Source organism: Homo sapiens, chromosome X (assembly GCF_000001405.40).
Source record: "Homo sapiens chromosome X, GRCh38.p14 Primary Assembly".
NCBI lineage: Eukaryota > Metazoa > Chordata > Mammalia > Primates > Hominidae > Homo > Homo sapiens.
The window spans coordinates 20,968,961-20,984,268 of NC_000023.11; the positions used below are offsets into that span (position 1 = coordinate 20,968,961).

Sequence of the window (15,308 nt, forward strand, 5' to 3'; positions counted from 1 at the left end):
AAAAACCTGAAACTGGTGATTAGTAGCTTTCCAATAAGCTCTCAGGGATTGGGGGAGTGAGATCAAGCATGTGCATTAAGAGGCAAAGTGGCAGAGTTTAACTGGTATATGACCTTCGTCCAGGAATGCTAGATTGGTAAGGGAAGAAAACCTCAAGTGAGCATGCATAAAATTCCAGTAAACACACTGCGTATGCTCCCCTCCCACATGCTAGCAGGCCATTGTGCATGTAGACAGCACACCCCAAAGGAAGAATCAGGGAAGAAGGGACACAGATCCTGAAAGTATGCCAGTGTATAAAACCCCATGTCAAAAGGTCAAACCACAAACTTGTCTTTCAAGTTGCCCTCTTGGCCCTCTTCCAAGTATACTTTACTTTCTTTTCATTCATGCTCTAAAGCTTTTTAATAAACTTTCACTCCTGCTCTAAAACTTGCCTTGGTCTCTCCTTCTGCCTTATGCCCCTCCATTGAATTCTTTCTTCTGCAGAGGCAAGAATTGAGGTTGCTGCAGACCTGTATGGATTTGCCACAAGTAACACTTTTATATAATCCAAGACATACAAGTTTTTGATTGTAGCTAAAATGGCACTAAGCAAGGCTAAAAGGGAAAAAAGTAAAGCAAGATGAAAATTTAAAGGAATGTTTTCTAGAAGAAGGCCTATTGAGAGAAATGTTACCAATGCAGGTCATTTGGTAACACATTTCTGTTTTATGACATTTTCTAAGGTTAGTCAGAAGGAACTAGTAATTGTAAAAAGAGAAACCAGAACAGTGAACAAGCCAATCTATTCTTACACATCACCAAGTGGTACTGAGGTGCAAAATTCCCATGGGAGGGGCTCACCAGTCTGGAATGATTCAAGGAACGCTCTTTTTTGTTTGCCTACACTGGAGTCTCTGTAAATTATGACAGATATCACCACATTTTTTCCCCAATTGTTTGAGACTTTTTTTTTCCAGATAAAAGAAGGAAAATTCTACATTCATGTTGATAACTTTTTGATCTCTGGGTAATTTCCAATGCATTTTATAAAATAACTTATATAAATGTGGTTGTTACAGAATTTCACCTATTCAGAAGTTTTAAGCATTTTAATTAGACAGTGCTTCGTTGGTATCACTGGATAAGTACTCCAAACTAAGCATAAATGAGTCAAGCTTTCATGCCTTTCATGAAGATTCAGGCTTACTCTGACACTTACCAGACACAAGATCAATGTCTGGCCATAGTAAGTGCTATGTAATCGTTAGCCATTATTATTAGCATTTAGAAGTGCTGTGTTTCTGGTGGGTTACAGATTCATGCTGTGGGCAGAGTTTCCTCAGAATGCTCCTCATATGCAACGTTAGCTACAGGCTGCCAGAATTTGTCCTTTAATAGTACTGGTATGACAAACATTTTCAGTTGGTCTTTGGTGTACTTGGATTTCTGGTGCTAGAAATGTTTTATTACTTATGGAGGCCCATCGTAGAAGCAACATTTTCCCCCAAAAGAGTTTCAGTTCTGGCTGTCTTAGGATTTAGGCTCATAAGGTATTTGGGCTGATGTTGGGTGATGTCAGTTCATGTGAAAACTGTGCTTTTGATAGTACAGCCAGTGCATCTTTTTACGAGGGTTGAGGTCAAAGGAACTTCCTCATGGTAGTTGGAAACTGACTTATTTGTCAATTCTTGCTTTACAATGGGTCTCTAAAAGTTCTCAAAGTAACATATAAACAAATGTAGTACATGTTTCAGTATTTATAGCAAACTGTAAGGTAGACTTATGAGCTTCATTAGAATTGATTACAGAAATGCTCATTTTGTATAATGGGTAGTAAGAACAGTGAGCAGTCTAGGGAGCAACCAGCCTTCTCACACTTTCTGCCTTGAAGTTAGATCCTTTGTATACATCTTTTCTTTTTTTGTAGAGATGGGGTTCATGTTGCCTAGGCTGGCCTTGAACTCCTAGCCTCAAGTGATCCTCCCACCTCGGCCTCCCAAAGTGCTGGGATTACAGGCGTAAGCCATCATGCCTGGCCCATGTTCATCTTATACTTTGTTTTTATGCTTTGCTATTGCTCCCTGTTATTATATTGAATTCATGTTTATTACTAAATTTCTAACCACCTTATCAGAAATGGCAACTCCTTCCATAATTTTACTTATTTGAACATATATAATCTTTTCACCATCATAGCAGCCATTTCAAATCATCTCCTTTTAGAGCTGGTAAAGGCCTTCAGGTTCATTTAGCATAAACTTGTTATTTCACAGTTGAGGAATCAAAGGTCCAGTGAGGTTAAATGTCTTGCCTAAAAAACTCGGCACATCAGCATCTTATTAGTTCTGAACTTTGCATTTTTGAGTAAGTTATAAGCAATGTGTGGAATACCATCCACTTGTAAAATGAATAAACTTTCCTTAACAATTTTAACTTCCTGGAAAGAATTTTTTCAACAGAGCAATAAAATGACATCAGTGAAATCAATCGTGTTGTCTTGATAGGTCATAAAACCTTGGGCAGTGACCACTGAGTGAGAGACAGGACTAGCTGGATTTCCTAGGCTGACTAAGAATCACTAAGCCTAGCTGGGAAGGTGACCGCATCCACCTTTAAACACGGGGCTTGCAACTTAGCTCCCACCTGACCAATCAGGTAGGAAAGAGAGCTCACTAAAATGCTAATTAGGCTAAAACAGGAGGTAAAGAAATAGCCAATCATCTATTGCCTGAGAGCACAGCGGAAGGGACAATGATCAGGATATAAACCCAGGCATTGGAGCAGGCAATGGCTACCCTTTTTGGGTCCCCTCCCTTTGTATGGGAGCTCTGTCGTCACTCTATTAAATCTTGCAACTGCACTCTCTTCTGATCCGTGTTTGTTACGGCTCGAGCTGAGCTTTCGCTCGCTGTCCACCACTGCTGTTTGCCGCCATTGTAGACCCGCTGCTGACTTCCATCCCTCAGGATCTGCCAGGGTGTCTGCTGGGCTCCTTATCCAAGGAGGTGCCCATTGCCACTGCTGATTGGGCTAAAGGCTTGCCATTGTTCCTGCACGGCTAAGTGCCCGGGTTCGTCCTAATCCAGCTGAACACTAGTCACTGGGTTCCACGGTTCTCTTCCGTGACCCACGGCTTCTAACAGAGCTTAACACTCACCACATGGCCCAAGATTCCATTTGTTGGAATCTGTGAGGCCAAGAACCCCAGGTCGAGAACACGAGGCTTGCCACAATCTTGGAAGCGGCCCGCCACCATCTTGGGAGCTCTGGGAGCAAGGACCCCCGGTAACATGAGGAAACAAGATAATGCAGTGGGGGGAGAGTGGTGGTGACTAAGCTGTGCTGTCCAACACAGCTGCTACTAGTTACATGTGGATATCATAATATTTAAGTTAATTAAAAGTAAATAAAACTAAAAATCCATTTCCTCAGTCCTACTAGTCACATTTCATATGTTCAATAGCCATGTGCGACTAGTAGCTATGGTATTAGGCAGCATAGAATATTTAGATAAAGTATCTCCATCATCCCAGAAAGTGCTATTGGACGGCATTAGAAGGTCTGTTTGAATCTCCACTCAACTGCCAATTTTTTTGGAGGCTTCTAAACTGGGAAGCTTCGTCTTTCTTGAGATAGGTGCCAATCCTGACACCAGGGAGATCTCTCAGGGAATGGACAGAGGCTTTCCAGAGTAACAATCTACTCAGCTCCTAAGCTGCACAACAACCCCTGACAAAAGAATTAGACTCAGTAGCTCATGCTCCTGGCTCATCTCACTCTTGCCTTGTTTTGGGAGTGATGGTGCAGGGGAAAGCATGAAAGAGGGAGGGGCCAGAATTTAGCATATCGCAAATAGTCTGAACCTTGCTTAACTTTTTACTTGTCTACAGTCTTCTTACCCCCAACTCCCCAATGTCTTCATCTTCACTAGACAGCAGAGACATGGCCTTGATGAAGTCCAATCACTTTCTGCTTCTTTGGGGCAGGAGGAAGTAATTAGATAGATTCTAGGGAAAGAGATGTGTGAAGACAGGAGCCTCACCAAATTTGCTGAGGTCCTCAACATGGTCAGCTCAGTCAGCTCCACTGAGGGTACAAAGATGGTAAAAATTACTTTATAGGGGCTCCTTTTCCCGGGGGTCCTTTTTATTTTCAGCTCCCCTGACCTGAAGGCCTGAGACTGGGCTTGGCTATCTAAGACCCCTCACTATCCACCTTGGCAGTGTATAGGTCCGCAGGAGACAATAGTCCTTCCCTACCCTGCAATGGAAACGCCATTGTAATTCATAGTAAGGAGTCAATAAAGACTTAACAGGTCTTTCTCCCAGAAGTATTTACATTTCAAAAACTACCTCTGAGCCTTCCTTGTCTCCCTTGCACCCCTCCTCACCGTTTGCTGCCCAGTAAAATGAGGCATTTGAACAGTCATGTATCAGATGGGGACATGCTCTTGGAAATGCATTGTCAGGTGATTTTGTTATTGTGCAAACATCATAGAGTGTACTTATACAAACCTAGATGGTACACCCTACTACACACCTAAGCTGTATGGTATAGCCCATTGCTAATAGGCTACAAACCTGTACAACATGTTACTATTTACACCAGCATCACCACAAACACTTGAGTAATGTGTTGCACTGAGATATTACAAAGTCTAGTATGTCACTTAGGCACTAGGAATTTTCAGCTCCATTATAATCTTATGAGACCAACATCATTGATTGAAACGTTCTTATGCGGTGCATGACGGTAAATGATTTCTAAGTCCACTCCAAGCACTGAAGTTGTCTCACCTGCTGATTCTGAAGAATGCTAATGCCTTAGGTCAAAAAAAAGCTTGCCTGGGCCTGGGAGTTATGGTGAGGCAAGAGATACCTTCTGGCAGTGAAAGTGTCTTCTTACCTCCATTCACATTTTTCCTCAAACTACAGTTGTATTTATTCTCTTTTCCTCTATGTTCATTTATAATCCCACTGATACTACTCTCATAGTTTGGGTTGTTAAAACTGGGATCCTGAAAGCACCTGACAGATTTTGTAAAAGATGGTGTTTGTCTCTGGGTCCAACACACCCAAAATAAACCATGATTTTCAACAATGTGATTCTTTAGAAACCCTCAGCACAGAGTTCTTTCAGAGCAACACTGAAAACTTAAGTATTTCCCCTGGATAACAACAATAGCTGCAATTTATTAAGCAACTCTTATATGACAGGCATGCCTACTTGACTTTTTACAATAAATAGTCCCTCCAACCCTTATCTGCAGGGGATATGTTACAAGGCCCCCAGTGGATGCTTGAAACTTCAGATAGTACCAAACCCTACATAGACTATGTTTTTTCCTATACATACATACTTATGATAAAGTTTAACTTAAAAATTAGACACAGTGAGAGATAAACAACAACCAATAATAAAATAGAACAATTATAACAGTATTCCAGCATAACTGCTCTTGTGCTTTGGTGCCATTATTAAGTAAAATAAAGGATACAAGAACACAAGCGCTTTTATGCCACAACAGTCTGATAACTGAGATGGCTACTAAATCCCTGGATGATTCACATCCTGTGCCAGTTGGAGCAGAGCAGCATAAAATTTCATCACACATCACACTACTTAGAATAGCTCACAATGTAAAACTTATACATTGTTTACTTCTGGAATTTTCCATTTAATATTTTCATACCATGGTTGACTGTGGGTAATTGAAACCGCAAAAGTGAAACCATGGATAAGGGTGGGACTACTGTATAAGTGTTATCTAATTTATCCTAATTCGAATGCCATCTCCATTCTACAAATGTCAAATGAGCTCAGAAAGTCCTGATAATTTGCACTGATTCTTATGGCTAATACTTTGGATCCAGGATTAGAATAAGACTTCATCAATTGCTACAGTACATCTATTTAGCACTCTGCCATTAATTTTTAAATTATGTTCCAAGGAATCCTAAATGTCCTCTCAAGATATTCAAGGCTGTTAAGAGGATTGAGGGTGGGTGGGGGAAGAGAGGAGGGAGAAAGACCGCAAGGTAGCCTCAGTCCCTGTTCATGTCTTGTCTGTCGTGCTCACCTGCCAAATTTAAGCCCAGCATACACTCTTTTAGCTATTTTATGTACTGCATTAGGATTCCACATACTATTTCTCAGCTTAAAAAAAAAAAGGTTCAAAAACCATTGAACATACAGTGTGCTTTCTCCAATGTCCTACTGAAACCATCCCAGCTTTTGTCTATTTATAACTAATTGACATTTACATATGTTAATTGATCCTACCACTGAAGAATGATTAATAGAAAACAAATCATTGTACATCTTTACCTACATCGTCCTTAGTTACAGACTTGGAAATGCTCTGGTGGAAATTGATTATTCAGAGGCATGTGAGGCCGATCCATCAGAAAAGGAAAGAAGGTGCCTGGGATATTGCTGCTTGCTTTCTCTCAAAAAATAAATTAGGTTTAGACAAGATGATCATTTGATGTGTGATGGCCCTTGGATGAACAAAATATATTCATTTAACTTCCTTCCAAACAGATGATTTTCTCAATCAGAGGTAACAGGATTGACTTTCAAAGTAGGGCTTGTTCACTCTTTTTCTCATTTATTAACCAACTACAGGATTTATGGCCTCGTAGTTTTTCTATTAGGTATAACTGCTTGAAAGCCTAAACGGAGATAAGTTTCAATTTGTTTTTTTACTTCCTACAGTATTCTTTCTAAAAAAGTGAAGATACTCCTCCAAAGATTTCTTATTTTGCTTATGGCATTCTTTGAGTTTCACCTGTGTGGGGTGGGGTGGGGCGGTACGCACATGCATATTCACATATAGGCCAAGAGGTGCCTGCGTATAATAGGATCTCCGTGTATTTTGGACCAACATTTTGGAACAATGAACATTATGATGGGTTCAGGACATGCTACCCCAAAATGTTACCTTGGCATATCGAATGTTTAAGCTGAAGAAATTTGAGAAAACCACAGAAGCAGGAAGGTCTCTCTGACCTTCCCCCTTTCTTCCCCCACTGAAGCAAGTCATAAAACCTAGGAAGGATTTTCAGACCTTCCCTGAAGCAGGTCATAAGACCCTCAGGTGAGAGGTGCCTTTCCTATACCATGAAGGAAAGGAGCATTCTTATCTCTGAAGACACAGGAACACAGAGAAGAATCTGAGCAAACATGTCTTGCTTAGTTTACTACCATTAGATCACACCCCTTTTGTGCTCTCACATTTCTTCATGACTCTTCTCTCTTCATCAAATCTATTATAAAAAAAATTAAAGTTACCTGTTTTTTGCGGTCTTTATTTTCTTATGAAGGCCCCCCTGCTACATAAAACTTATATTAAATATATTTGTATGGCTTTTCTCTTGTTAATCTTTTGTTACAGTGGCCTCAGCAACAAACCTAGAGTGGGTAGAGGAATATTTTTCTTCCTCCTACAAACGTTAGTTACTTGGTGCAAGACGAAGCTGCCCTCAGTAACCTACTTGTTCAATCCATTCACCAAACAGCGATCAACAATAATAACCAAATATCTTTTATGAGTAGACAGAGAGGGAAATCGGAGATGTTCAGACAGGAGATAAATGACTGCTTGACAAATAAATTGTAAAGCAGATTCCAGCAAAGACTATAAAATCAGAGTTTTAGAAATGTAGAGGCCATTTCTTCTTGGAATTCTGTGCTTGTAGCCATAAGATTTGGATCCTACCCTCTAGGACTCTGTGATCCAGAGGGAAGATGAGGCATTTAGCTCATGATGATGATTGAATGTCTCTGTTTGCCAAAAATGACTCTGATCCTTGTACGGAGGAATAAATCTTTATCTAGAGTAGAAAGTTGCCAAGGGTGAGAGGCATGCTGTGACATGCTTGGTCAGAAAATGAAGCTGAAAAAATATACTCTGGAAGAGAGGATATAGTTTTATGTTCCTGGGTGAAATGGCATGTCGTTTATAGTAAAGTGGGTATTTTTTTGGTCATTTCAATAAGTTTTCCAGGGAAAGAGGGAAGGAAATTGATGATGCCCTGGGGAGGTAAGGAAGATTGACTGGGAAAGGGCATCAACCCCTCCAATGCATGGGAAAATTACAGCAGGGATCTTTCTAAGAGTCAGCCTAGCAATACCACCTGGACCCAAGGAATCTGCAGGCACAGCACCCAGAAGAGAGTGATACCAAAGAACTGATGGGCCATTAAGATAAGAAAGACGTTATTTCCTGTGAATTGCAATTATGCATATGGTATGTTTTCTAAGATGTATCAAATCTGACGGCAAATGTGGGGCAGTAGGCCCACTGCTACACTTTCCCATGTGCAGGAGTAGGAGACACTCAATACTAAATGATAAATAATACTCCCCCAAAATAACCAGGGAAAGTTCTGTCACTTATCTCTTCAATAGGAGGCTTACTAAGTGTTTTAGTCTGTTTTGTGCAGTTATAACGAAATATCCAAGACTGAGTTATTTATAAAAAGCAGATTTATTTCTTACACTTCTGGAGGCTGGGAAGTCCAGGGTTGAGAGGCCTGCATCTGACAAGGCTCTTCTTGTTGTCAAGAAGGGCATGTTACAAATGTTAGTTACTTGGTGCAAGAGGAAGCTGCCCTTGGGTAACCTACTTGTTCAATCCATTCACCAAACAGCAATCAACAATAATAACCCACGGCAGAAGGGCAAGAGAAGGTGTGTATGAGAGAGCAAGAGAGAGCTGAACTCACTTTTATAACAACCCACTCTTGTGATAACTAACTCAGTCCTGTGATAATGACATTAACCATTCATGAGGGCAGAACCCTAATAACCTAATTACCTCTTATAAGGCCCCACCTGCCAACACTGTTGCATTGGGGATTAAGTCTCCAACACAAGAACTTTGGGGGACACATTCAAACCATAGCACTAAGCAATTGAAAAAAACAATAGTTACAAATGCCAATGGTTCAGTAACTTGTTGAAGGTCACACAGCTAGGTGGAGGTGCCACAATTAAATCTACATATTTCTGGATTCAAACCCAACATTCTTTGTACTTTTTCTCACCACCTCTCAAACAGGAAGGTAGGAAGATAGAGCAAAGTTTGTGGTGATGGCCAAATTCATAGTAGAAACAAAATTATGTTATGGGATTTCCTTCCTTTTGCTACTACAAGTGTTTTTTTAATATTCTAAGAAGGCATTCATTCACTTAGCCCAGGGAAGGAAAAATAAGTCCTGTTCTTTGATCTATGAAAAGTATTAATTTATTAAAAAATAAGATCAATAAGCACAACTTACAATGAATATTTGACTTTTTAGGTAATTATTATTTGCTTAACCCTGGATACAGAATCAATTTTTCCCCCCAGGGGAAAGTGGAGAAAACCAAAATTAATTAAGAACCAATAGCAACATAATTTAGTGTGGTTTCTGTTACACTATAAAAGACCCAAATTGCCCACTTTTTAATTTAAGTGTAGAGAACAGAACATTTTATTCGTAAGAACAAACAATACTAAATAGTTCCTTATGAAGGCTGGACGACTATAAGTTATAGTAGGACGAATATTTGAAGGGCAGAGCTATCTATGAGACCCTCTATCTGACAAGCTGTCAGTGGGTTATGCTCTACCATTAGCTTTGGATTATTTAGCTGCATGAACTTGGGCAAACTATAAAAGTTGGAAACTAAAGAAAACAGAGGCTTTCTACTCTGAGAGCTTCATGTTATAGATGAGGAAATGAAGTCCCACCCATAGTAAACAACCTGCTGACTGTCAAATAAATAGTGGAGAACTAATACTGTCCTGTGCCTCACTCACTTAACTTCTTGGTGCCTCCGCTTCCTACTCTGTAAAGAGAATAAATTTAAATAGGAAATTCATGATACCATGGAAGAAACACATGACTTGGAGATTGATATCCTGGGTTTGAGAGCCCTTCTCCAGTACCTGTCCATTGACCTCAGGCCAGTCCTGAGGCCTGAGGTCTTATTAATATCAGATTTCACAATATGATCACCTATTATTAGTCACAATTTCCACAAATTTTACATTTGTAATTAAAAGTTTTGTTCAAGCTATAACACAGGGTGTTGAGAAAAACTAATAAGGCAAAGAGAAATATTTAGAAAACTGTTAAATGCTTCAGAAGATCAAAGGAATTATGATAATGGCGATGATGATAATGACGATGATTAATTCTCTCTTACTCTCAAATTCTAGTTGGAAAGAAGAGCTTGCATTTGGAAGAAGTGGAAGAGGTTATATTGATAGAATGAGGTTCATATCATAGAAACGTGTAAATGATGAGATATGAATTTAGATGGCTTTTTGAAAATAAGCGAGCAATTGGCAGGATTGCTAAATAAAATACAGAATACTCAGTTAAATTTGAATTTCAGATAAACAAAAGATAATTTATTAGTACAAATATATTCCAAATATTACTTGGAATGTACTTATAGCAATAAATTATTTGTTGTTTATCTGAAATTCAAACTTACATGGGTATCTTCTATTTTTATTCACTAAATCTAAAGCCCTAATAATTAGATAATATCTTAATGTTGTTAATGCTGCTATAACAGAATACCTTAGACTGGGTAATTTATAAACAGCATACATTTATTGCTCACAGTTCTGGAGGCTGGGAAGTCCAAGATCAAGGGACCAGCAGGTTCAGTGTCTGGTGAGGGTCTTGTTTCTGATTCCAAGATGGCATCTCTTGCTGTGTCTTCACATGGCAAAAGGGGCAAATAGCTGCATTGCACCTCTTTTATAAGAATGCTAATCCTCTGCCTTTATGATTTAATCATCACCTATCACATTGGTTATTAAGTTTTAATATGTGAATTTGGGGAGGACACAGCCAGACCATAGCAGGGGAGTTCTGTGAAGGGTCGCAAGTGATGTTTAAAAGCAATAATTCAGAGCAATTCAGCAGTCACTATTCTAGGAGTATTGGGGTAGGGAAGGAGTGGAAGTAAGAAAATTGTCCCAGTTTGGGTTCCCCTAAAAGCAGAGCCTAAGAAAGAATTCAAAGGCGGTAATTTATACAAGACATGAGGCCGGGAAACTTTATAAGCAAAGGAGGAAAGTGAAAGCCATTATAAGGGTGCATTGTGTAGGTCTTTGCTGTAGGCAGTTGGGGCAGGATTCCACTGGTTTTACTAAAAAAGCCTATACAATGCCTCCTAGGAGGGGGACTAGGGCTTTTGTTCTTCAGCTCCCAGCCTTCCACTGGTTAAGATTTTCATTTGAGAGGTGAAGGGGATCGAAATATGCCACTTCCAAGTATGCCACTTTGACATAAGAGTTTTTTTTTTTTTTCTTTAGCTGAAGGCAAATATAAAACAGCAGATTCAGAAAAGCACTCTCTACTCCCCCAACCTATGTACCTTAAAGCAGGGAATAAATTTCCCTTCTGAAGGTGTTCCCCCTCCGTTCTCTCCTACCAGGAAGGGCAGAAAGACTGTTAATCACCAAGTCAACTCTAGACTCTAACCAACCCAGAAACAACACCAAGAGGAGAGGAATCTGCATAACAAAACTTACTAAACAATTCTTATCTTCCATTAGTTTCCCCCATATATTTAACTTCCCACAGTTTACCAGGCCTAGATGCATACAATCATTTTCTTTTGTCACTGATTCACAAATTTATTGCCCTTTGTTAAAATGGTTTAGAATCCCCTGGGTCTGACTGCCTCTTTGTGGTTTTCACTTCCCTTTCTGTGAGACTCCTATGCCATGTAAAAATATTAACATCAAATAAAATTTGTGGGAGGAAAGTAGATCTTTAGGACTTGAGTGAGGAAAAGTTTGCAAGTCTGGACAGAAGGGAAAAGTGTTCCTGAGAGACTAGCTTTGGGTAGGGGACGTGGAAGAAAAGAATAGCTTTTTTTAATTTCTTCTACTCTTAAAAAGCTTTTTTCTCTTCATCCAAGCTGACCAGCACAATTGGGATACCCACACTGTCCCTCTCCAGCTCTAGCTCTCTCCTTATAAAGCGTCAAGATTATGTCAATTGGTCAGAGCCAGTCAGGGATTTTGTGTGAGTGCCGAAGGAACTGCAGGAGCCAGAGAAGAATAAAACTGTGTAGAGTCAGCCTGGCTTCCAGCTTGTTCTAACTGGCCCTGAGTCTTTGGATGCAGCCTGCAGAGGCTGCAAGTGAGATTCCTTAACAGTGTTCTAGAAGCAGCTGATGGAGATAGGGTGGCCAACTAGATGCAGCCAAGAATAACTTCTTCCATTGAGATACAAGACCATAAAGAAAATTGACACACTCCAAGCAGATTTTAGGAAGGAATGCATTGAGACAGGACAGAAGGTGGATGTGGACCCTGGACTGAAGGGTGAGGAAGCTGAGAACCCTGTATGGGGTTGCTGAGCACCAGGACTCAATCCTGGTCCCAAGCGACTCCTGGGGAAGGAGTGAGTTAAATAGGCATGGAGTGGCCCACTCTTGCCATGCTCCATCAGAATCCTAGCTGCAGGAAACCCCATGACACCATGAACATTTGAGTCAGCAGGAAGAGCTGCTCGGAGAGATGTCAGGGACAGGACTCCAGCCTCCACAGAATCCACAGGGTTTGGTTTGAGAATGGCTGGAACACATCCAGGGATGCCCATCCCTCTAGTCTTGCCATGATCCTCCAGGTGACTTTGTCCTTTGTTGACTGTCAGACTTTGACAGAACAGGGCTTTCTTGCCCGTGAGACAGGGCCAGTCTGATCTGAGCACTGCCCTGTCTGATGGCCTCTACCAGGGCCCCTGCCTCATTTCACCCACTTGCAGCACAGCTTCAGATGCCAAATTAGAGTGTTTCCCAGAGGCCATTGCCATAGCTCTTTTGCTGACAGACCCCACCTGTCAGAGAGCTTTCGAAGATGAGTCCTAACAGTGCACACTTGCCTGAGGCCTCCCTCACCACTTTACTGGCATGCACTCACCTGCAACCTATCCTTACCACTTTGCCAGTGTGCGTACATGTGTGGACTTCACTGTACTGACACCGTTGGTGCATGTGCACATGTGGACCTCACCACCACTATCTTGTCCCTGCTGGCACACAATACATAAACCCGGCTGCACCACTGTACTGCTGCTGCCTCATGCACATGTGCAGACCATGTTGCCCTGCTGCTGCTGGTGCATATGTGCCCACAGACCCCGACACGTTGCTGCCCTGCTGCTGCTGATGCACATGCATTAACACAGACCCTGCTGCCACGACTCTGATGAAGAACTTTTTCTGGTACCTCCCAGTGGAGTGTTGTTGCTAGTGGACCAGGAACACAATGGACCCACCAGTGCAGCAAATGTTTAACCTCAAGAGACCAGAAACAAAGACATGGGCCTGGTCCTAGCCCTCCAGGATTAAAGTATGCAGCCTAAGAGTGCTGACATGAGCCTTAGTCCCTGAAATTATCCAGAAATAAAGCCAGTCAACCAAAGTCAACTTGTATCACAGTCACACCCTAAAGGGCATCAAAGAATATAAAAGCAAAAAGCTCCATCTAAAGAACAACAACTTTAAAGATTAAAGGAACATCAGCCCACACAGTTGAGAAAGAAACAGTGCAGGAACTCTGGCATCTCTAAAAGCCAGAGTGTCGTCTTACCTCCAAACAACTGCACTACCTTCCAAGCAATGGTTCTTAACCAGACCAAAGTGTTTAAAATTACAAACATAGAATTCAGAACCTGGATCCAGATCATCGAGATTTAAGAGAAAGTGGAAATCCAATCAAAGAATCAAAGAAATCCAGTAAAGCAATTCAAGAGCTGAAAAATGAAACAGCCATTTTATAAAGAAACAAACTGATCTGACAGAGCTGAAAATCTCACTACAGAAATTTCATAATACAATCAGAAGTATTAACAGCAGAATAGACCAAGCCGAGGAAAGAATCTCAGAGCTCAAAGATTGGTTCCTTGAATCAACTCAGTCAGACAAAAATAAATAAAAAATAATAGAAAACAACGAAAAAAAACCTCTGAGAAATATGGGATTATGTAAAGAGATTAATCTATGACTCACTGGCAACCCTGAAAGAAAGAGAGAGAGAGAGAGATAGTGAGCAAGCAGTATGAAAAATATATTTGAGGATATTGTTCTTGAAAATTTCTCCAGCCTTGCTAGAGAGGTCAACTTTCAAATTCAAGAAATTCAGAGAACCTCTGTGAGACACTACACAAGATTACCATTCCAAAGACACATAGTCATCAGATTCTCTAAGGTTAACATGGCAGAAAAAAATATTAAAGGCACCGAGAATGATTGGGTAGGTCACCTACAAAGGGAATCCCATGAGACTAATAGCAGACCTTTCAGCAGAAACCCTACAAGCCACAGGAAATTGGGGTACTATATTCGGCATTCTTAAAAAAGAGAAATTCCAACCAATAATTTCATATCCAGTCAAAATAAGCTTTGTAAGCAAAGGATAAATAAAATCCTTTTCAAACAAGCAAATGCTAAGGGAATTCATTACCACGAGATCTGCCTTAAAATAGGTCTTTAAGAGAGTGCTAAACATGGAGAAAAAAGACTGTTACCAGTCACCACGAAAATACACTTTAGTATTATACATAAACCATTGAAGCTATAAAGGAGCAGCACAATCAAGTCTGCATAACAACAAGCTAGCAACACTATGAAAGGATTAAATTTGCACATATCAATATTAACCTTGAACATAAAAGGGCTAAATGCCCCACTTAAAAAGTGGCAAGTTGATATAGAAGCAAGACCCAACTGTATGCTATCGTTAAGAGATTTGTCTGACATGCAATGACACCTATAGGCTTAAAGTAAAGGGATGGAGAAAGATCTATTAAGCAAACTGAAAACAAAAAAGAGCAGGGGGTTCTATTCTTAATTCAGACAAAACAGACTTTAAAGCAACAACAATCAAAAAGGACAAAGAAGGGCATTACATTATGATAAAGAATTCAATTCAACAAGAACACTTAACTATTTTAAATATATATGCATCCAACATTGGGGCACCCAAATTCATTAAAAAAGTTCTTAGAGACCTATGAAGAGACTAAGATAACCACATAGTAATAATGGGATACTTCAGTGTATCACTGATGGTATTGCCCAGATCACTGAGGCAGAAAACTAACAAAGATACTTGGGACCTAAGCTCAACACTTGACAAAATGGCCCTAACAGGCATCTACAGGACACTCCATCTAACAACAACAGAATATACATTCTTCTCATCTGCACATGGAACATATTCTAAAAGCGATTCTCAACAAATTCCAAAAAAACCAAAATTATACCAACCACACTCTTGCACCACAATGCAGTTAAAATAG

The 15,308-nt window shown here is 40.3% G+C and overlaps 1 annotated feature.

Annotated features, from left to right (window-relative positions):
* Positions 4,024–4,584: an enhancer, noted in NCBI's record as "OCT4-NANOG hESC enhancer chrX:20991102-20991662 (GRCh37/hg19 assembly coordinates)". NCBI's record gives its function as "activates a minimal SCP1, AML or CMV promoter by ChIP-STARR-seq in naive and primed H9 embryonic stem cells {active_cell/tissue: H9 hESC(naive and primed)}" and the evidence as "EXISTENCE:reporter gene assay evidence [ECO:0000049][PMID:30033119]".